The sequence below is a fragment of the Homo sapiens genome, chromosome 1, assembly GCF_000001405.40.
Source record: "Homo sapiens chromosome 1, GRCh38.p14 Primary Assembly".
Lineage (NCBI taxonomy): Eukaryota > Metazoa > Chordata > Mammalia > Primates > Hominidae > Homo > Homo sapiens.
This window is the reverse complement of record NC_000001.11, coordinates 203967974-203992466: the sequence shown is the minus strand read 5'-3', so window position 1 is coordinate 203992466 and position 24493 is coordinate 203967974. Positions and strand designations below refer to the sequence as shown.

The following is a 24493-nucleotide window of genomic DNA, read 5'->3' as shown; positions in this document are numbered from 1 at the left end:
AAGAGAAGGGGAAAAACTCTAAAAGAAGACACAAGTGGCCAGTCGTGGTGGCTCATGCCTGTAATACCAGCAATTTGGGAGGCCCGAGGCAGGTGGATTGCTTGAGGTCAGGAGTTCGAGAGCAGCCTGGCCAACATGGCGAAACCCCATCTCTACTAAAAATACAAAAATTAGCCAGGCTTGGTGGTGGGTGCCTGTTATCCCAGCTACTCGGGAGGCTGAGGCAGGAGAATCGCTTGAACCAGGGAGGAGGTTGCAGTGAGCCAAGATTACACCACTGCACTCCAGCCTGGGCAACAGAGCAAGACTGCCTCAAAAAAAAAAAAAAAAAAAAAAAGAAGAAGAAGACACAAGAACTAAAAAAAACACAGACATTCACCAATGTTAATGACACTTAAATCCAAATAGGTATATAAACTTTATCAGGGCCTGAGGGGCATGAGGTTTTTGCAACACTACACAAAAGTGGATGATTCAAAATAATGAGTATATGCCATCAAAGCAAGTCTGCTCCATTTAGTCATGCAGGAACCAAGTTCTGGGTCAAGACAGCAGGTGGAGCAAAGTTGAAACCTCCTCCTTCTCCAAACACATAAAATGAGAGAGGGAATAGGTTTAAAAACTCATAGCCACACTTGAAAACAAGAAAGGGAAATCTTAAAAGCTACTAAAGAGGGAAGACAGATTATTTACCAAGAAACAAGAATCAGATTGGGCTGGGTGAGGTGGTTCAGGCCTGTAATCCCAGCACTTTGAGAGGCTGAGGAGGGAGGATCACTTCAGCCCAGGAGTTCTGGGCAACATGGCGAGAGCCTGTCTCCACAAAAAAAAATTTTTTTTTTTTCCCATGGAGTTTCATTCTTGTTTCCCAGGCTGGAGTGCAATGGCTAGATCTCAGCTCACTGCAACCTCCGCCTTCCACGTTCAAGCAATTCTCCTGCCTCAGCCTCCCAAGTAGCTGGGATTACAAGCACCCACCATCATGCCTGGCTAATTTTTGTACTTTTAGTAGAGACAGGGTTTTGTCATGTTGGCTAGGCTGGTCTTGAAGTCCTGACCTAAGGTGATCCACCCGCCTCAGCCTCCCAAAGTGCTGGGATTACAGGTGTGAATAACCGTGCCCGGCTTACAAAAAATTTAAAAATTATCCAGATGTGGTGGTGTGTGCCTGTAGTCCCAGCTACTGTGGAGGCTGAGGTGGGAGGATCACTTGAACCCAGGAGATCGAGGCTTCCAGTGACCTGTGACTGTGCCACTGCACTCCAGCCTGGGCGACAGAGTGAGACCCTGTCTCAAAAAAAAAAAAAAATCGGATTGATTCCCGACTTTCTCATACATAAGCAGATGCCAAAAGGCAACGGAATAAAATCCTGAAAATGCTGAAATAAAATAATGTTAAATGTAAAAATCTATGCCCAGTAAGACGCACAAACTCTGAAATTTTACTAATCACAGACTCTCACTGAAAGAACTGTTTGAACAAAAAGAAAAGTGAATTCTGAAGGAGAAAATGTAGGAATCAAAATGCAACACATACACATCTGTAATTTTTTTTTTAGAGACAGAATCTTACTCTTGCTGCCCAGGCTGGAGTGTAGTGATGTGATTATATCTCATTACAGCCTCGAATTCTTGGGCTCAAGTGATCCTCCCACCTCAGCCTCCCAAGTAACTGGGATTACAGGTGTCCATCACCACATCTGGCTAATTATTTGATTTTTTGTAGAGACAGAGTCTCGCTATGTTGCCTAGGCTGGTCTTGAACTCCTGGGCTGAAGTGATCCTCCTGCCTCAGCCTCCCAAAGTGCTGTGATTACAAGCGTGAACCACCACACCCGGCCACATCTTTCATTTTAAAAACGAAATACATGGCTAGGTGGTGTCACAGTAACAAACAGCCTCCACACACCCCAAGGGCTTACATGCACACAGGTGTATTTACTGCTCTGGTCAACCCAGCTGCAGATTGGCCAGGGTTCTGCTCGACGTGTCTTCTTTATTCTGGGATTTAAGTGGAAGCAAACGCTTCTACTACAAAGACGCTGTTTTCACAGCAGAGGGAAATGAAAGGTGGCAGAACCAAAGCATCAGCTAGGAAGTAGCACAGAGCCCACAAAACTAAGTCAGATGGCCACACCCGCCATAAATGGGGTGTGTCCTGCAAGTCACGTGGCAATGAGGGGGGTGCATAAGATTCTCTCAGGAAAGGGCATAATCTGAAAATAGTAATACAACAAGAAAAAAGACCGGCACAATGTGACTGCTAACAGCTGTTGATTCTCGGGTGGAAAAATATAGGTAATTATGTTTTGTATTTTCAAAGTTCTCAAAACAAAAAAGACACAGGAGAAAATTTAGATCCACTAGAACACAATTTTATCCTGCTTTTTGAGGTTTAATATTAACCTTGTGAGCATTTGCTCATATCATTAATAGTCTTTTCCATTTTTTTTTTATATGAGGCAGAGATCTAATATGGTTTAGAAAGACCAAAATGGATGAGATAATACAGCTTTGGGGCTTAACAGGATAAAATTATGCACAATTACAAGGAATTTGGGTATCTGATATTTTTTGTATGTAATTATGACTCTGAGTGCCATATAACTTTAAATAATTAAATAGAAAACTTCATTTTTAAAAATGAAAAGGTTCCAACTAATATTGAGCACATAAAAATAATGGACAGTGAGGGAATCGTGAAGAAATGGTGCTTACCAATGACTCAGGTATTTTTAGTTGTCAGAAAAAAATTGTGAAAGGCTGTGAAATGGATCAAAGAATTACTAAATGTCTTCAGTGAAAAACCATGCTTTACGTACAGCTCACCCTTCTAGGTTATCTGATTCTATGGGACTTGCACCTTTCATTGTCTCAAAGCTATTTTACAACACTGTAAGTTGTAAACAACTGATAGCAATGCAAATAATTCTGCTTTATACACATGAAAATGAATCTTGTCTAGTGGAGGGGCAATTGATTTTTCTCTCACCCATCCCCACAAAAAGCCAGTTTTGCATCTATTTATAAATGCATTTTTTGGCCTATTTATATGTGTGATCTTTGAATTCTCTCTTGAACTGGTTGAAACATTTTACTGATCCCTTCACTAATTAATGAGTTAAATAAAATCTTTGATATGCATTCACTTTATATTTGAGTTGTGGTTTTATATATAGAGAGAGACTATATATATTGATTACCCTTTAATACTGAATATTCTACGAAAGTTCATTTGAACACTCATTAGGAGTCAGCCTTTGAAGCTGTTTTTGCAAATATATAAAACAATCTTTTGAACTATTAACCATTGTCTTTCCCTTATGACTTTTTCCTTGACTTACACCCCATTTGACCCAAGGTTGTTCCATCAGATTCTCTCTCTTAGTAATGTGTCTTAGTAAGTGTGGGTTGCTATAACAAAATACAATAGACTTGATGGCTTAAACAAAAATGTATTTCTCACAGTTCTGGAGGCTGGAAGTCCACTATCACGGTGCCAGCCAACTTGGCTCCTGGAGAAGCCACTCTGCCTGGCTTGCAAGATGGTTGCTTTCTCCCTGTGGCCTTTCCTTGGTGGAGAGAAAGCTAGCTCTCTAGTCTCTTCTTATAAGGGCAGTAATCCCATCATGTAGGCCCCATTCTAGTGACCTCATCTAATCCTAGTTATCTCCCAAAGGCTCTGTCTCCAAACACCATCACCCTGGGGTTAAGGCTTCGACGTATGAGTTGTGGGGTGACAAAATTCAGCCCATGGAATAATATAAATTCAAAGACAACTGTGAGTTCTGAGGCTGGGGGTGAGGTGATATCTAACTGGCAATGGCGGGGTCATCTTGTGGGGTGTAGTGGCTAGAAATGCAAAAGAGGAGGCAGAGGCAGGCATGCTGAGAGGGCACCTGCAGCTCAGTGCAGACCACTGCCTGCTGCTTCCTGACTTTCTGGGTACCTTTCTATTTCTGAAAATTATCCAGAATTTTTCCAATAAATTTCCTTTTTTTAAATTCTAAATTTTTTTCTCTAAATTTCCTTTTTTGTATGAGCTGATTTCTGTTATCTGCAATCAGAATAAATTTAACCAAAACACAGTGGCATCAAGAAGTAGGCCATAAAACCATTACCCTGGTGAAATCCAAGTCTCCATCTCTACCTCCTGGATCTTTGTGGCTAGAGAAAAACATTCAGCTTCACTGCCTTGTTTTCCCTTTAAATTCATGCATCTCAATCTCAGTGAGTTTTCCTGCTGCCCAGCAACCATCCCTTACTTCCCTGGTGTATTCACTCTCCCACCTCACTCTCCTATTTCATACCCTGTCCTCTCTCCTCAAACCTCCAATACCTCCTCCCACGTCCTCACCCTGGGCAGGAAAACTTCCTTGCTCCTTCACTAACAAAATGGAAACCATCAGAAAAGAACTTCTACAGATTACCACCACTTCTACCCACATGGCTTCTGGAATGCTGCGGTGTCTTGGTTTTCTTTCTACCTCACAGCTTCCTCCTTCTCAATCTCCTTTGCTAGTTTATCTTCTCCTAAACCTCTCAATCTAAGCTGTCCAACGAATTAGCCACTGGCCTCACATCGCTATAAAGCATTAGAAATGTGGTTAGCCTGAATTGAGATTGCTGTAAGTGTTCGGTACACGTAAGATTGCAAAGACTTACTAGGAGAAAAAGGGATGTAAAATATTTCATTGTGAATTTTTATGTTGCTTACATGATGAAATGGTAAAATTTTAGATATCTTGGGTTAAATAAAAGAAAGTTTAAAATTAATTTTGCCTGTTTCTTTTTTCTTTATTTTTAAGTTTTATATTATTTATGCATTTTTTTGAGACATAGTCTCATACCCAGGCTGAAGTGCAATGGTGTGATCATGGCTCACTATAGCCCCCAGCTCCTGGGCTCAAGTGATCCTCCTGTCTTAGCCTCCCAGGTAGCTGGGACTACAGGTGCATGGCCATCATGCCCACCTAATTTTCCTTTTCCTTTAAAAATTCAGCTTCTAGGCCAGGTGTGGTGGCTCATCCCTGTAATCCCAGTACTTTGGGAGGTGGAGGCAGGAGGTTGGCTTAAGCCTAGGAGCTCAAGACTAGCCTGAGTAACATGGCAAAACCCCGCCTCAAAATGAAATACGAAAATTGGCCAGGCATGGTGGCATGTGCCTGTGGTCCCAGCTACTGGGGTGGCGGAGGTGGGAGGACTGCTTGAGCCCAAGAATTCGAGGCTGCAGTGAGCTGTGATCATGTCCCTGTACTCTGCCATGGGTGACAGAGCAAGACTGTCTCAAAAAATAAACAGACCAAAAATGCAGCTAGTGGAAAATTTTAAATCACTATGGCTCACATTATGTTTTTATTCTTCAGTACTGTTCTAAAAGTTGCAATGCCCCAGGGCTCAATCTTTGACCCTCTGTTCTTTCTCTACCGTTATTCTCTTATCCAATTTTATGGCTTTAAATACTTAATGAATGCCAAGAACTCCCAAATCTAAACTTCTAGCCCAGACCTCTCCTCTGAGCTCCTGACTTGTCTATCCAACTGCCTGCTCAACTTCTCCACTTAGGAAATACACTCCCCAAGCTGGTGCTCCCCTCAGCCTTCCCCATCTCAGTTCATGGCAACTCTATCCTTCTCACTGCTCACGAGAGAACCTTGAAGTCAGCTTCAACTCCTTTCTTTCTCTCAAACACCATACCCATTTCTTCCTGTGGGTTTCTCTTCAGAGTATATCTGAAATCTAACCAATTTTCATTGTTTTCCCTGCTACCACCATCATTTCTTGCCTGCATTGCTGGAATAGTAACAGGTCTTCTAGCTTCCACCCTTGCACCTCCATAGTCTGTTCTCAACACAGCTGCCTGAGTGATCCTTTGAAAACAGAGTGGCTCCTGTCACTCCTCTGTTCAAAATCCCACCACAACTCCCCATGTCCCTGAGAGTAAAAACCCAAGTCCTACAGCGGCTACAAGGCCCTACATGGTTCAACCCCCATCACTTCTCTGGCCTTGTCTCCTACCATTCTCATTCACCCAGTCCAGCCACACTGCTGTTTACCAGGCATGCTCCTGCCTTGAGGCCTCAGTATTAGTTACTCTCTTTGCCTGGGATGCTCTGCTCTTAAATATTTAGGTCTGATTCCCTTACTTCCTTCAAGTCTTTTTTCAAATATCACAATCTACACTGGGCTCCTCTGTTTAAAATTGCTACCTCCCACAAATCTTTTTACCCCCATTTACTTTTTCTTTTGTCCAAAGAACTTACTTATCACCCCCCAACATCCTGTACAATTTACTTAGTTATTATGTTTGCTGTTATCCCACCCACCTACCCTGATACCCCTAGAATGGAAGGTCCTCTTGGGCAAGCAACTTGCGTCTCTTGCTTCCTGGTGCATTTCAAGTGCTCACAACTGTGTCTGGCATGTAAGAGGCACTCAGTACTGCTATTGTTTGAATGCCCCCTCCAAAACTCATGTTGAAATTTAATTGCCATCGTCATGGTATTAAGAAGTGGGATTGTTAACAGACAATTAGGCCATGAGGGCTCTGCTCTCATGAATGGATTAATGCTGTTATCTCCAGAGTGGGTTCCTGATAAAAAGCGAGTTGGGGCCTGTCTGCTCTAGCTGGCTCATATCTACTCACTTGCCTTTCTGCCTTCTGCCATGGGTTGATGCAGCAAGAAGGCCCTGGCCAGATGCATGCCCCTCCACCTTGGACTTCCCAGCCTCCAGAACTACAAGAAACAAATCTCTGTTCTTTATAAATTACCCAGTCTGTGGTATTCCATTATAGCAACAGAAAACAAATCTGTTGAGTGAGATTTAGGCTAATCAGAACAGTTCAATGATTTTGACAAGGGACAATAAGGCAAATTCCAGTTCAAATGTGCAAAGCTGGAAGCAGGGAAAAAAACTGAACTACAAACCAGATTCTGAAATCCAGATCAATCAATCAACAACTTGCAAGGCCCAAATGCAGCCAACCAAGTGCTCTAATTTGCTCCATTTTTGTGTAAAAATGGTTGATACACTTGACTGGAAAAATGTGGAATCCTAAAACACTTACTGGGAATATGGAGAAGACACTAAGAATTGTGGAAACCCTGGTCTTGGACCCTCTGAAACAGCCTCTTGTCATGCACACTTTTGGTGAAAGAGGGCTCTCATTCCAAGGCTAAGACTGGAATGCAGTTTGGGGGCAGGGGCAACATTCCTGGGGAGATTAAAGAAGATAGGTTCCTTGCAACTCCCTTGATACCCTTTTGTTCTGGATCTATGCCTGAAGGCTAAAGCCATTAAGCAGAAAACAACTGGGGTTGCTAAGAAATGGAAGACCCACAGTCCTGGCCCAGGCCTGGCTTTTCACCTCAGTAGGGTTGGAAATACACATGGTAAGATCCAGCAATGTTGCTGATATTCTTTCACCCATAAACAAACATTTCTTTTTTCTTTTTTTTTAATTTTTTTTTTTTTTGAGATGGAGTCTCGCTCTGTCGCCCGGGCTGGAGTGCAGTGGTGCAATTTCGGCTCACTGCAACCTCCACCTCCCGGGTTTAAGTGATTCTTCTGCCTCAGCCTCCCAAGTAGCTGGGACTGCAGGTGCGCACCACCACACCTGGCTAATTTTTGCATTTTTAGTAGAGATGAGGTTTCGCCATATTGGCCAGGCTGGTGTCGAACTCCTGACTTTGTGATCTGCCCGCCTTGGCCTCCCAAAGTGCTGGGATTACAGGCATAAGCCACCGTGCCTGGCAACAAACATTTCTTGAGCTTCTATTATGGTCAGATGCATTCTTGGCCTTGAGGAAACAGTGATGATTAATATAAGGTCCCTATTTTCTTGGAGCTTATGTTCTGGTTGGGAAGACAGAAAATAATCAAGTAAAAAGGGATTTAGGTAGTTTCAGATGATGGTACTTGGTAGACACTAAGAAGAAAATTAAAAACGGAATACGATGTGGGAGAAACTAGTGTAGATAGGGTGGTCAGGGAAGGTCTCTGAGGTCTATTAGATATAAAAAGCCAAACTAATGGATTTTCTTGCTCTCACACTCAAAGCAGTTCAGAACACTTAACTTGTGATCACCAAATTGTGTTGGCATTTCTCCCTATCAATTCTCCAGTGTATGGTAACTGCATATCCTATAATTCAATTCAATTCTGACACTAGATACCTGGACACAGCAACAGATCCCACAGGGTGAGGGCTCAGTCTCCCAAGACTGCCCCACTTCAGGTGCCAATTGCAAGTCCCAGGTTATGACCTGTGATTCTGATGTACCAGGTATAAATCTGGGTTCCCACAATCCCCCTTCTCAGGTTTGATAGTTTGCTCGGACAGGCCATAGAATCCAGGGAAACACTTACTTATATTTACTGGTTTATTACTAAGCCTATTGATTATAAAGGGTAGAGATGAAAAGCCAGATGCAGAAGTGCATAGGGAAAGGCATTGGGGAAAAGGCACCTCCACGTGTTCAGCAACTTGAAAGCTCATCAGGTCTTGTTAAGGAGTTTTTATAGAGCTTAACATCTAGCTTCCAGCCCCCTTTCCTGGAGGCTGTTGGATGGGCTGAAAGTTCCAACTTTCTAATCCTCTAATCATTGGGTCTTTTTGGTGACTGGCCACATCCTGGGCTATCTAGGGGCTTCACCCCAAATCACTCATTATCATGAACCCAGGTGTGATCCAAGGGGGCTCATTATGCATAACTGAAGGCACCCCTATCACTCAGGATGTTCTAAGGATTTTAGGAGCCCTGTGACAGGAACTGGGATATGTCATATCATACCACAGAGGGTAATATTTCCTCTAAGACCAGATGATGAAAAGGATCCAGCCATGCAAAGAACATTCAGGTAGAGAGAAGAACAAGCACCAAGGCTCTGGGCTGGGGAGTATGTTCATGGAGACCCAAGGAAACATGTCTGGCTCCAGAGAAGTGAGTGAGAAGAAAAGGGACAGAAGATGAAGCTGGAGAAATCATGTGGGGTTAGACTATGCAGTGGGACACTGACAGTTACAAACTGAATATCACATTCTGACTTTAATTTTATAAATATTACTCTAAACTGTACGGATGGTTAAAAAGCTAATTCAATACACCAGGTGAAAAAGATTTATGGCTTGGACAAGGAGGGTGGTGTTTGTGATGGAAATAAAAAGACATGAATGAATTCAGAGATACTAGATATTTTAAAGTGTGAAAGACTGAATGCACCAGACAATTAACCATAGTAACTTGTATTTAACAGTGAAAACTAAGGGGTGATGTAGGGGATCAGAATATGCCACCCCACAATATGCCACTTTGGCGTAAGGATTATTTTGAGCTGAAAGCAATTGAGAAACAGCAGACACTGAAAAAAATTCTCGCCCTCCCCCTCATTTGCCTAAAAGTCAGACATGAATTTTCGTTTGTAGAGGTGTCTGTCTCTCCCACACCAGCAATAGAAGGACAACTATGAAACTCTTAATTACCAGAGACAACTCTAGACTCTTAACAGCCCAGAAATGGCACAGAGAGGAATCTACATAGAAATCCTTATAAAATAGCTCTTATCATCCATTAGTTTCCCCCATATATTTACCTTTCCACAGTTTGCCATCCCTAAAAGGCCTAAACTGCTTTTCCTTTTCTTTTTGGTGTTTTTTGTTTGTTTGTTTGTTTGTTTGTTTTTTTGAGACAGAGTCTCACCCTGATGCCCAGGCTGGAGTGCAATGGCATGACCTCGGCTCACTGCAACCTCCGCCTCCCGAGTTCAAACGATTCTCCTGCCTCAGTCTCCCAAGTAACTGGGATCACAGGCACCAACCACCACACCCAGCTAATTTTTGTATTTTTAGTAGAGATGGGGTTTCACCATGTTGGCCAGGCTGGTCTCGAACTCCGACTGCCTCGGCCTCCCAACGTGCTGGAATTACAGGCGTAAGCCACCATGCCTGGCCCCTTTCCATTTTTTTTTATTTGAAATAAGGCCTTACTTTGTTGCCCAGGCTGGAGTGCAGTGGCACAATCAAGGCTCACTGTGGTCTCAACCTCCTGGGCTCAAGTGATCCTGAGTAGCTGGGATCACAGGTACGTACCACTATGCTTGTCTAACTTTTTTATTTTGTAGAGACCCTATGTTGTCCAGGCTGGTCTCAAACTCCTAGGCTCAAGCGATCCTCCTGCCCTGACCTCCCAAAGTGCTAGAATTATTGGTATGAGCCACCACACTCAGCCCTAAATTGCTTTTCCTTTATCTTGTCACTTCTCTACAAATTTATTGTTCTTTGCTAACATGTTATATAAGCCCCAAGTTCTAAACACCCCTTTGAGTTACTCATCACTGAGTTCTTCTTGCGTGTATCCATGTTGCATTTGTTAATAAGCTCTGTTTGTTTTTCTGGTGTTTATCTGTCTTACCTCAGTTTAATTTCTGGGGCCCCAGCTGCAGAACCTAGGAGGGTAGACAAAAAGGGTTTTTTCCTCCTCTACAGTGGATAATTGTGCATTATCTGTCACACAACAGCATTTATATACTCTCAAAGTGGCAGAAATGAACATACTCATAAAAAACCCAAAGATAAAGTCTCTCTCTGCTGCATATAAAAATAAGGAGCACGTAACTTAAAATTATGCTTAGTAATCAGTGTTTCTTGGAAATGATCTAGATGCCTAATGAATATCCATTAATTGTTGCAATTCAGAATCACTCTAAAATTTTAAGTTACCAAAGATCTTGGAAACTATAAGCTAATTATTGTCAAAATAAAGCTTATCGGAATGATTTTTCTATTTGGTTAAACATAAATTTATATGTTTTGTAATCTTAAACATTACGTAGAACTAAGGCTAACTTCTTCAATCAGTAGATCTGTATAAATTAAAGAGCATACCTAAGTAGAATAAAAATGTACACTTATATTTAATGCCTGTAATTCAGAGAAAATATAGCTGTTTTTACTAAACCAAAAGTATTAAACTAGTTTTGCTTGCTAGAGATTTATCTAAATTAGGTTAACTCGAGTTCTTAAAATGTTTCTGAGTTAGTTTCTATAAGAATACTTCTTTTTTCACATTAAAAATATTAGAAGGCTGGGTGCAGTGGCTTATGCCTGTAATCCCAGCACTTTTGGAGGCTAAGGGAGGCAGGTCACTTAAGCCCAGGAGTTTAAGACAAGCCTGGGCAACATGGCGAAACCCCATCACTACAAAAAATACAAAAATTAGCCAGTTGTGATGACGTTTGCCTGTAGGTAGTCCCAGCTGTTTGCGAGGCTGAAGCAAGAGGATTACTTGAGCCCAGGAGGTCTAAGCTGCAGTGAGCCATCATAGTGCCACTGCACTCCAGCCTAGGTGACAGGGTGAGACCCTGTGTCAGAAAAAAAAAAAAAATAGAGGTTAGATTTCCTTAATTTCTGGGAATTTTAGGAACACTTCACTTATATAAGTGCTTATTTATCTCTAAGCCAATCAAAATAGAATTCTTCCAAGAGGCTTTGTAATCTAAATTATTAACACCATCTGGAGGTAGGATAATACTACACATTCATACAATGAGCATAAAGACTTTCATGAGTTATGGACACATGAACATAGAGACAGGCTGAGAAAGAACTCTTAGGGCTCCAATTCTAAAATTTCAACTACGGGTCAAGCATAACCATAAGGTGGGTCACACAGTTAGAGTTAGCACAGCCAGGATTCCAGCCCTAGCACTCTTAACTCCACATGGACTAAGTGATTGAGTTAACCACTTGCAATAGCCCTACTTTATGGCTGGGCGCAGTGGCTCACACCTGTAATCCCAGCACTTTGGGAGGCCGAGGTGGGCCGATCACTTGAGGTCGGGAGTTAGAGACCAGCCTGACCAACATGAAGAAACCCCTGTCTCTACTAAAAATACAAAAATTAGCCGGACATGATGGTGGGCACCTGTAATCCCAGCTACTCAGGAGGCTGAGGCAGGAGAATCACTTGAACCTGGGAGGCAGAGGTTGCAGTGAGCCAAGATTGCGCTGTTACACTCCAGCCTGAGTGATAGAGTAAGGCTCCATCTCAGAAAAAAGAAAAAGAAAAAAAATAGCCCTACTTTACAAAAATGGGGAAAATCAGTGTAGCTAAAATAAAGATTTCCTCTTAGAAAGGGGGAATAAAGGAAACTTCCAGTACGGCTCCAACACTTTGTTAGCAAATGAGGTACCCAGGTCCTGCTGGGCAGGAACAGATACTGAGGTAAAAATATAACACCTACATGGCCAGGAGTGGTGGGTCACACCTGTAATCCCTGCACTTTGGGAAGCCAAAGTGGGTGGATCACTGGAGGTCAGGAATTCAAGACCAGCCTGGCCAACATGGTGAAACCCCGTCTCTACTAAAAATACAAAAATTAGTTGAGTGTGATGGCAGGTGCCTGTAATTCCAGCTACTCAGGAGGCTAAGTCATGAGAATAGTTTGAACCCAGGAGGTGGGGGTTACAGTGAGCCAAGATAGTGCCATTGCGCTCCAGCCTGGGTGACAGAGAGAGACTCCATCTCATAATAATAATAATAATAATAATAATAATAATAATAATAACAACACCTACAAATCTCAATGGTATTAGTATTTGTTTCCTTAATCAGAGCATGAGTTTGAATTTCCTTGGTAAATAATTCAGTTGTCCACCAGGTGCAGTGGCTCACGCCTGTAATGCCAACACTTTGGGAGGCCAAGGTGGGCAGATCACAAAGTCAGGAGTTCGAGACCAGCCTGGCCAACATGGTGAAACCCCATTTCTACTAAAAATACAAAAATTAGCAGGGCATGGTTGCAGGAGCCTGTAATCCCAGCTACTTAGCACGCTGAGGCAGGAGAATCATTTGGGGGAGGGAGCCTCCATCTCAAAATAAATAATAATTCATTTGTCACAAATTCTACTTTCTGAGAGGCTATACCTGTCCTATTCCTCAGACCACACTCAGTAGCCTGCTACTTATAAATATTGGTATTCTTTGGCTGTACTGCCCAATGAATAGCCAAAAACTGAAAAAAAAAAACCATTTTTCCAAGAAGCATTTTTGACCAACTATTCTCAAGACTAGTTGAACTTCAACTTGACCTTCTTAGGCTAAAGCTCTATACAATCTCCACTTTCTTCCTCAAGGCAAAGCATCCCTTCAGAACAGTTCTCAGGCTGCAGCATTCTGAATGGACGCTTGGGCTTCGTGGTGCGGTGGCTCATTTTCTCCCACGGTTTCTGATGCTGTGACCTGAATCCTGGACCCTCTTCTGCTCAAATATGGATAAAATTCGGTAGAAACTTTGCTGTTTTCTCTCCTAAGAGTACTGGTGACTCCAGAGCTGAGTAAGTCCTGCTCTGGGTAAATGCACCCCTCCTTTCTCTCTCTCTCTTTTTTTTTTTTTTTCCAGATAGAGTCTTCTGTTCCCCAGGCTGGAGTGCAGTGGCATGATCATGGCTCACTGCAGGCTCAGTCTCCTGGGCTCAAGCCATCATCCTGCCCCAGCCTCCCAAGTGGCTGGGACTAAAGACATGCACCACCATGCCTGGCTAATCTTTTTTGTAGAGATGAGGTCTTGCTATGTTGCCCAGGCTGGTCTTGAGATCATAGCTTCAAGCAATCCTCCTGCCTCAGCCTCCCAAAGTGTTGCGATTATAGGCATGAGCCACCACGCCCGGCCCCTCCCTCCTCATAAGCATCGTCTAAGCCTCTATTCTATTCTTTTTTTTAATTGTCCTTGGTATAAGCCTATTGATTTGATTATCTTGCACCATTCAGAACTCTTACAGGCATGGTGGGGTATAGTGCTGAGATTTTCTGGACCAACTATTGTCTCTTGCATGTTCTCATTATTTGGGTATGGGCAATCACCAGTCATTCAGTGAAATTCCAGATCATGGTCCAGCCTCTTACACATACGTACATACATTGTGATGCCAATTGCACAGGATTTTTTAAAGAGATCCTGTCTCTCTCTCTCTATATATATATATATTATATATATGAGACAAGATCTCTTAGCAGCTTTCCATGAAGTCTTTCCTGTAGAAAAAAAAAAAAAAGATCAAAAAGTCAAATCTGTAAAATACAAAAAATCTGTAAAAATAGAAAAATTAGCCAGGCATGATGGTGGGTGCCTGTAATGCCAGCTACTCAGGAGGCTGAGGCAGGAGAATCACTTGAACCCAGGAGGTGGAGGTTGCAGTGGGCCAAGATCATGCCACTGCACTCCAGCCTGGGTGACAAAGCAAGACTCCATCTCAAAAAAAAAAAAAAAATCAAATTTGTAAACAGAGAAAGAATAAAGTTATCCTAATTTCAGAGATCACTTAACTACCACTTTCCAGGAGCTCTCTAGTCTTGACAAGGGCAAAGATATCACAGCTGTCTTATTTAATTTTTTCTGGATGGTCCTAAACCAAGGTGGCAGGTTTAGTTTAAAAATAGAAGATAGTATGTCCCCTTCTCTAAATTACAAGATCTTTCAGAATACTGTGATATTTTGACTTAGAAAAAATTTATAAATAAACTTTTTAGATTAGGCAACTAGAAATAACTAGAACAAGGACACCTCTATGTCTAGTCTAGACAAAGACACCTGTTCATAGTATAAGGAAAAGGGACACTGAAAGAACAGTTGCTCTACCTTAGCTCAAAAGATAGGATCTGAAAAGACAAAGAGCAAAGTTTGGTTGCCAAATGACAGCTCTGCAGGAGTAGCTGCTCTGGTCTGTCCACAACTGCCCTTAACACAAAAGGGAGAAATTTGCACGCAATTGCAAAAACAGAATGCTTACTTTCTACCGTAAACCATACCACCATTCTGTCATTCTCTTCCTTGGAGTAACAAAAAGTTTTCAGTGGTAGAAATCTCAAATACACCTCAGTCTCTGCCTTTGTCTCAGCTGTTTCCTGTCTGTTTGGGCTTTCTCACTAGTCAATATACTTTTCTGCTTAGTAACTTCACTCCAGTGAATTTGTTATAAGTGGAGTACCATAATTTGGTCAATAGTTTGATGATGGCAGAGACTGATTAATCACTGCCTGATGCCTCCCCTATAAACACCTCAAACCTTGGACCTAGCTGTGATAAACTCTGGGCCAAAGACAATTCAGATGTGGGACACACAACAAAGGCTAGATCCTTAAAGATCTCAACTGATCTAGTTATGACCTCCCAAAACTGCTACAAAAAGGAGGATGTAGAAGCCCTTTAGGCTGTCTTATCCTGTATGCTGCCAGAAAAAAAAAAAAAAAAACAACCAAAAAAACCCCAAATTATTCCTTGCACCAGCCCTTGTATTAACTGCATTCTGCCTATCAAAAAGGCCTATAGGCTGGGCGTGGTGGCTCATGCCTGTAATCCCAACACTTTGGGAGGCCGAGGCAGGCAGATCTCGAGGTCAGGAGATCGAGACCATCCTGGCTAACACAGTGAAACCCAGTCTCTACTAAAAATACAAAAAATTAGCCGGGCGCTGTGGAGGGCACCTGTAGTCCCAGCTACTCGGGAGGCTGAGGCAGGAGAATGGCGTGAACCCGGGAGGTGGAGCTTGCAGTGAGCCAAGATCATGCCACTGCACTCCAGCCTGGGCAACAGAGCAAGACTTCATCTAAAAAAAAAAAAAAAAAGCCTATAGGTTTAGCAGCCACATCATACAAGAGATAGGGTTATTAATAATTTGCTTTCTTGCTTCCCTGTAATTGCCAATGCCAATTCCATCCTACCCTCAATCCCTGAAACAGCTACTTACTTTATAGTCATTGGCCTATTCCTTACATGCTTTAGAATGTCCTTGCAAACATACTCATAGTATTTATTTGGAAAAACCAACAATACATATAGACAGTGATGCCCAAGGGCTTACAGAAGCATCCTCTTATTTCGCCCAAGAACTCAACAATAACCTTGGAGACATCCAATTCTCCTAGGAATCTATTCTTATAAAATATGATGACCCTCTGTTATGCTCTCCAGATGAAGAGGCTTCCAAAATTGATTTTCTCCATTTGCAGAGAGTGTTTACATACAAGGCACACAATGTCTCTAAGAATAAACTCCCAAGTTTATCACATCCATTATCTAGGCCATGACATCACACGAGATGGAAAGCCTCTTTGTTGAAAAACTTTAGGGACTTGCCCCCATCCAGTTATTAAAAGACAACATCAAGGATTTCTCAGCCTCATAGAAAACCGTAGACATTGCATTCCTAATTTTCAGAATTTGCGTCCCTTTAAATGTTCTGATAACAGCAGAAATACCTGAGCCCTTGCCCTGGACGGGTTCACTTGAGACTATTTTCTATAACTTAAAGGACTCCCTTCAAAACATTCCTATCCTTGAATTTCCCAATTACTATAAACCTTTCTATGTATACATGAAAGATCAGTACGAATCTTGCAGGCTTCTAAATCAAAAGCTCAATGGACATCATAGTCCAGTAGCTTATTTTGGCCTCTCACTTGACCCTGTAGCAAAAGCCTACCCTTTTTGTTTGTGTGTAGTCACAGCAGCTGCAAAGTTAACTGAAGCCTTTGATGCTTTAGTCTTAGGATTTCCACTTAACCTCATGGTCCCTCATGCTGTTCAAGCCTTATACTCAACTAAAAGCCACCCGACATTTTTGTGCTTCTAGACCAACCTCCTATGGAATCCTTCTACTCTAACATGCATATATTTCCAGTACTGCAATACCCTAAACCCCACCACCTTTCTTTCCCTTCCAGAGGAAGGTGAACTTCATGACTGTCATGCATGAGTTTAGGAGGATTCTTTGCCTTACTCTGATCTTGATTTCTAATTTAATTCCACTGAAGTAAAGTAACACACTTAATATAATTTGATTTATTTTAAATGTATTAAGACTTGTTTTATGTCCCAAAATATGGTCTGTGGTATACGGTTCCACGTGTGCTAAAAAAGAATTTTCAGGCTGGGCATGGTGGCTCACGCCTGTAATCCCAGCACTTTGGGAGGCCGAGACAGGCAGATCATGAGGTCAGGAATTCAAGACAAGTCTGACCAATATGGTGAAACCCCATCTCTACTAAAAATACAAGTGGTGCACGCCTGTAATCCCAGCTACTCAGGAGGCTGAGGCAGGAGAATCGCTTGAACCTGGGAGATGAATGTTGCAGTGAGCTGAGATCATGCCACTGCACTCCACCTGGGTGACGGAGCGAGACATTGTCTCAAAAAAAAAAAAAAGAAGTTTCAAAAATAAATGAATAAAATAGAAAATAAGGCTGGACACAGTGGCTCACACCTGTATTCCAGCACTTTGGGAGGCTGAGGAAGGGGGTCACTTGAGACCAGGTATTCAAGACCAGCATGAGCAACATACTGGGAGCCTACCTTTACAAAGTAAATAAATAAAAAAGAATATTCTTGCAAGGGTTTGGGTCAACTATAAAGTTAGAGGTCACAGTCTTCAAGACTGCCCTCACCTCTGACACCAGCTGAAAGCTCAGGGTGTTCCCAAAACCACTCTAAGTTTCGATAACTTGCTAGAACTCAGATAACCCACCAAAAATATACTCATGGCTATAGCTGTGATTATTGGGAAAAGGTACAGATTAAAATCAGGCATGATACAAGCATGTTAAACAGAGTCTAGGATAAGTATCCAACATGCAGTTCCTGTTTTCCTTTCTCTGTGGAATCAGGACTCATCATTGGTTTGTGAAAATACACAAGAAATATTACCATCCAGGAATGCTCACCTGAGCTTTGGTGTCCGGAGTTTTTATTGGGGCCTCATCATAAAGACATGATTGATTGCCCATATGGTTGAATTCAGTCTCCAGGTTGGCTTCTACCAGGTCAGCCAAAGCCCCTACTCTCAGACTGTTAGCTATGGCCAGCCCCACCCCAAGATATGATGTGGCCAGCCCCTGCTTTAAACAAAGACATTTCTATCTGGTATGACACAGATTACCTGCCAGAAGCTGAGAGCAAAGGCCAGACCTCTCTTTGGGAAAGGCCAAATTTTTTACTAAACAATTTTGTGGTTCTATAAAGTGTTCTAGAAATGCCAATTAAGTAAAATTGGTTGATAGCTTAGGCTACATCTTTTACATCCTTACCTATTTTCTGTTTATTTGTTACATCAATCATTGAGAGACAGGCATTACAATCTTCAGCTATAATTGTGGATTTGTCTAATTTTAGTTATATCAGTATTTTCTTAATGTATGCTCTGCTATCGGGTACATAAATATTTAACATTATTATGCCCTTTTGATAAATTGGCATCTTTATCATGAAATGATCCTCTTTATCCCTAGTCATATTGTTTTATCTGAAATATGTTTTGTTGGATATTAACATAGATACTCGAGCTTACTTTTCCTTTTTTGTAACAGTGTTACTGAAATAAAATTCACACATACCTCTCTTTGAAGTGTATAATTTAGTGACTTTTAGTATATTCACAGAGTTCACATCCATCACATAAATTTGTGATAATTCCCGAACATATATATGAACATATATATATGAATGGAGTAGAGACAGGATCTTGCTGTGTTGACTAGGCTGGTCTCAAACTCCTGGCCTCAAGTGATCCTCCTGCCTTGGTTTCCCAACATACTGGGATTACAGGCATGAGCCACTGCATTGTCATCCATAACATTTCAATCAACTTAAAAAGAAACCACATCAGCTGCTACTCCCCACTTTCCCTAACTAAAAGCCTGGCTACCACTAATCTACCTTTTCTCTTTATGAATTGGCCCTTCTGGACATTTCATATACAAAGGATCATATAATATGTGATCTTTTGTGTCTAGCTTCTTTCAGTTAGCTAGCATAATGTATTCAAGGTTCATCTATGTAATAGTATGTATCCGAACTTCTTTTCTTTTTATGGCCGAATAATGTTCCATTTTCTGAATATGCCATTTATCTGTTGATAGACATTTGGGTTACTTGCAGTTTTTGGTGATTATAAATAATGATGCTATGAACATTCATGTTTAATTGTTTGTGTGATGCGTGTTTTCAATTTTCTTGGTACATACCTTGAGTATATACCTAGGAGTGGAATTGCTGTGTCATATGGTAACTCTATGGTTAACTTTTTGAGGGATTGTCCAGCTGTTTTCCAGAATAACTGCACCATTTTACATTCCTAATAACAATTTAAAAGAGCTCCAATTACCCACAGCCTCACCAATACTTGTTACTATTATTCTTTTTCTTTATAGCTATTCTAGTGGGTGTGTAGTGGTATTGTATCTCTTTCTGGTTTTGCTTTATATTTCCCTATTGACACAGAGTGACATTGAGCACCTTTTCATGAGCCCATCAACAATTTGTGTATCTCCTTTGAAAAAATGTCTGTTCAAATCCTTTGACCATTTTTAAATTGGCTTATTTGTCTTTTTTATTTTTCTTTGTTTTTTAGATAATGTCTGGCTCTGTTGACCAGGCTGGAGTGCTATGGTGCCATCTTGGTGACTGCAACCTCCACCTCCCAGGCTCAAGGTATCCTCCCACCTCAGCCTCCCAAGTAGCTGAGACCACAGGCACACACTACCATGCCTGGCCAAGTTTTGTATTTTTCATAGAGATGGAAAGTCACCTTGTTGTCCAGACTGGTCTTGAACTCACGAGCTCAAGTGATCTGCCTGTCTTGGCCTCCCAAAGTGTGGGGATTACAGGTCCAAGCCACCACACTCACCTTATTTCTCTTTTTATTATGGAGTTGTAAGCGTTTTTCAAATATTCTGGATATAACTCCTCTTACTGATGTATGACTTGAAAATACTTCCTCACATTCCAGGAGTTATTTTTTTCTCTTTCTTTTCTCTAATAATTCATTGTTATTTCTTTCTTGAGACAGGTCTCACTCTGTCACCCAGGCTGAAGTGCAGTGGTGTTATCACAGCTCATAGCAGCTTCAACTTCCTGGTCTCAAGCAATCCTCCCACCTCAGCCTCCTAAGTAGCTGGGAACACAGATGCATGCCACTATGTCTGGCTAATTTTTTTTTTTTTTTTGGTGGAGATGAGGGTTTCCCTACGTTACCCAGGCTGGTCTTGAACTCCTCGGATCAAGTAGTATTCCCACCGCAGCCTCCCAAAGTGCTGGGATTACAGGCTTTAGCCCCTGGCTTTTTCACTTGCTTGATGGTATTCTTCAAAACACAAAAGTTTCTTTTTTTTTTTTTTTTTTTTTTGAGATGGAGGCTCACTCTGTTGCCCAGGCTGGAGTGCAGTGGCATGATCTCAGCTCACTACAACCTCCACCTCCCGGGCTCAAGTGATTCTCCTGCCTCACTCTCCCAAGTAGCTGGGATTACACGTGCATGCCACCAGGCCTGGCTAATTTTTTTTATTTTTAGTAGAGACGGGGTTTCACCATGTTAACCAGGCTGGTCTTGAACTCCTGACATCAGGTAATCTGCCTACCTCGGCCCCCCAAAGTGTTGGGATTACAGGTGTGAGCCATCACGCCTGGTTGAAAAGTTTCTAGTATGATGAATTTTAATTCATCTATTCTTTCTTTGTCTCTTGTACTTTTGGTGTCATCTCCAAAAACCTATTGTCTAATCCAAAGTCAAGAATATTTACACATATGTTTTCTTCTAAGAGTTTTATAGTTTTAGTTCTTAAATTTAAGTCTATGAGCCTTTTTGAGTTAATTTTTGTATATGATGTGAGGTTGGGGTTCAAATTCATTTTTTGCATGTGGCTATTCAACTTTTCCCATACCATTTATTGAAGAAAATATTCTTTCATTCCTAATGAATAATTTTGGGACTCTTATTAAAAACCAGTTGGTGATAGATATATGGGTTTATTTTGGGACTCTCAATTCTATTTCATTGATTTATATTTCTGTACTCATGCCCATATCACACTATCTTTTGTGTTGTTTTGTTCTCTCTCTATAGAGAGAACAAAAAGAGAGAACAAAATAAACCCTATATATATTTTTTATTTATATATAATATATTTATTTATATATAAAATATACATTTTATATATTTTTTATACATATTATGTATTATGTAATAGTATATATTGTTAAAGGAAACTATGTGGCCTGAGAAGGACTCCAGACTTCTATATTTGAGTATTTGTGGACGAACTATAACCTAACTTAATAGGTAGACAAGATTGAAACCCTAATTTAGGAGTATGCACCTGTAACAATAGCTGAGCATTGGCAAATCCCAGTAGCTATACTTCAACCACTCATAGACTGCTGAGTGTTCAAACTGTGTTCAAATAAAGCAAAAGCCAACCTGTAACCAATCCAGTTGTTTCTGTACTTCTCTCCCAATTTCTGTACATCACTTCCCTTTTTCGTCTATAAATTTATTCTGACCACAAGGCAACCCAAGAGTCTCTGAATCTTCTGTGATTCTGGGGGCTGCCCAATTTGCAAATAATTCATTGCTCAGTTAAACTCCTTTAAATTTAATTCAGCTGAAGTTTTTCTTTTAACAGATGGTGTCAAAAGTGGGGTCTGAAGTGGAGCTTCTCACGACACCCAGGAGTCCTGAGTGAACAAGCAAGGTACCTGCATGACCCACTTGTCTACATTGATCTCTTGGAGCAGCTAGGGATCATAAGTAAGTTATCTCAATTTTGGAGCTCCACAGATTTGTGTTTTGAGCTCTCTGAATTTCTTTGAGCAAATTTCTGATCCAAACTGGGTTTGGAAGTTGCAACAGAAACTGGACTGAGTCCAGGAACGGATTTGATCTGATAATTAACTGGCTTGGATCCGTTAGAGGCCTCTTATATCTGACTGGGTCAGAAAGAAACCGGTAATAAATGGTAACATTGCAGGGGATGTAAAATTTGGCTTTTAAAAATTTGTGGGGATTTTTGTGTTCTACCCCTTTGTTTCATTTTTCTTGCAGTAGGAAAAAACCCATTGGCTAAGTTAATCAAGGGAACTGGAGAGTAAAACCAATATTTTAGGTAAAAATGGGATCCTTAATTTCTGGAAAACTGAGTTCCTTCTGGCTTATGCATTAGGCACAGAAAGCAGCAAAGTCTTACAGAAATGGCAAGATCTTACTAAAGACAACGTACAATGGAATGTTCTGAATGAACAACAATGCATTGAAGTGCATTTTAAAACAAAGACTCTCAAATATTAAATCTGATAACCTTTTAGCGTAGTTACCATCCTGATCCAAAGGAAATAGACTGCTGAAGCACCAATAGGCTGACTTTGGATAAGTAATGGAGTACATTTACCTGAGTAAAGGATGGGATTGGGTTAGAGACCCTCCCCTCAGTAAAGTCCCTCTTGGTTAAAATGGGTTAAAGATGACAGGGCCCAATCAGGGTCAAGTTTGAGCCTTGCCAGTTTGATATTTGGTGCCTCCATGCAACCGGTTGAGCGGCATCTTGCAAAATTCAGAGGCTTTTGCCTGTGGTTCCTTGAAACAGAAAAATATGATTTTCCTTTATGATGTGGCTTGGCCCCTAGGGCTATGGTGTGGAGATCTTGGTCACTAGGGCCACGAAGGGAAAGGGAACCCAGAAGCCTGGCATGCAGGCCAAAGGGTAAGAATTTCTTACTAGTCAGGCTTCTGGCCCCTCTCTTCCTCTCTCTCTCTGTGCAGACTGGCTGAATGAATGGTAAAAATCATTGTTTATCTCCTCTGTAAAGTTTTGATTAATTGAAAAAATGATTCATGAGGCTAATCGTAAGCTGTATTGTGCTTTTTGTGTCTTTCCATATTGTTGTGTCATAACGAGGGGTACCTTAGGATAGAATGCGGGCTTAGGACCCCATCAGGAGGGCCCAGCAAAACTGGTCAGCAATAAACTTTGCTGCAGGTCCTTGAAAAAAAAAACTGGATGAAGTCTCTATCTTGTCTAGTATGTCCTTGGTGCTTGACCTTGTAACTACGTGGCAGTACTTTCTTTTGGTCTCCACCATTTTAAAATTGTGGCCCAGGTTCAATTCCCAGCTTAGGGAATGAGTACTTTCTGGTTGATATTTGGGTAACGTTTGCCATTTTTTGATTCTCTTCCCCTCCACAAACTGTCTTGAATTTTCCTTTATCAGAGCACCTGTGAGGTTACTTTTGGTAAAGTTTAAGAGCCAGAAATATCAGCCATTTGTTCTGGCTAAAGTCAGGTAATAAGAAATTTAAAAGGACTTTTAAAGTCAGCTTAATTAAAAGTGGATATTCAAGCTCTAACAGCCTGGGACTCCTTGGGAAAAACAATAGATACAAGAGATTCTGTTTTGGGAAAAACCTCTGTTTTCCTCTGCTTCCAATTCCTGGGATTTCAGAATTGGAAGTGGATAGATGCTTTTCAAAATCTAAGGCTGTGTTCTGTTTTGCATTGCATTATCTGACATTTTTTACTTTGGGAGTATCAGAAATTATTATTTCACATTATGAGAGAGCTTTGTTGTGTAATAACTAAGTAGGCAATATACTTTTAGGGATGTCTAGTTACAGTTATGGGGAAATACTCAGCTCTGCACATTTGGACCAGAGAAGCATGCTCTTGGCCACACAGAAGTATGGAGATGTCTCCACCCCCGACTGAGAAATAAGACTCCCATGGGGATGGGTTGACGCCCTCTTTTTTGGAGGGGATCCAGGATCTGGTATAACAATGGGACTTAATTATTGGAGATGTTTTGCTTTCTGGCTGTGCCTGCTTTTTATATTAGGCCCTAGAAACTGTATGCTTTCCTGGCCCTGTTCTTCCAAGGACTCCACTGTAAAGCCAGTAATCCAATTAAGAAACTTAGAAACTGGTGCCAGGTGTGGTGGCTCACGCCTGTAATCCCAGCACTTTGGGAGGCCGAAGTGTATGGATCACCTGAGGTCAGGAGTTCAAGACCAGCATGACCAACATGGTGAAACCCCGTCTCTACTAAATATACAAAAATTAGCGAGACATGGTGGTATGCAACTGTAATCCCAGCTACTCAGGAGGCTGAGGCAGGAGAATCACTTGAACCCAGGAGGCAGAGGGTGCAGTGAGCCGAGTTTGCACCACTGTACTCCAGCCTGGGTGACAGAGCTAGACTTCATCCAAAAAAAAAAGAAACTTAGAAACTGGTAAATGAAAAATCTTACAACTACTGCAACTACTGGATCTTCTTCTGTCTGTCTGTGTAGTTATATATTTGTTGTGTGTGTAATGTTTATATAAAAGAGCTCTAATTAATTGGCTTTAAGAAAAATAAGCACTTAAATCAAATATTTTGAAAGAAAAATAAAAACTATAATGCCTTTTAGTTCATGTAACTTTAGTAATCTTTGGGAAATAAAAAGTTTTAAAGATTATTGGCAAAAATAAAGACATTTGGTCTAAATTAGGGAGGTTAGATACTAGGTTTGCTAAATGTTTTAAGGTCATAAACTGCTTTGACTTTTCAAAATTGTTCAATTTGCCTAGCTTGGAGACATTAGATTCTAGATAAGTCCTGGGGCATGTGGAATTAGCCATGCCCCCTAGCTATGCAAAGAAAGTTATAAAGAAAATGTATTTTATATAAGAAA

General features: G+C 41.2%; 1 annotated feature.

Moving 5' to 3' along the window:
• Positions 6777-7472: an enhancer, noted in NCBI's record as "OCT4-NANOG-H3K27ac hESC enhancer chr1:203954123-203954818 (GRCh37/hg19 assembly coordinates)". NCBI's record gives its function as "activates a minimal SCP1, AML or CMV promoter by ChIP-STARR-seq in naive and primed H9 embryonic stem cells {active_cell/tissue: H9 hESC(naive and primed)}" and the evidence as "EXISTENCE:reporter gene assay evidence [ECO:0000049][PMID:30033119]".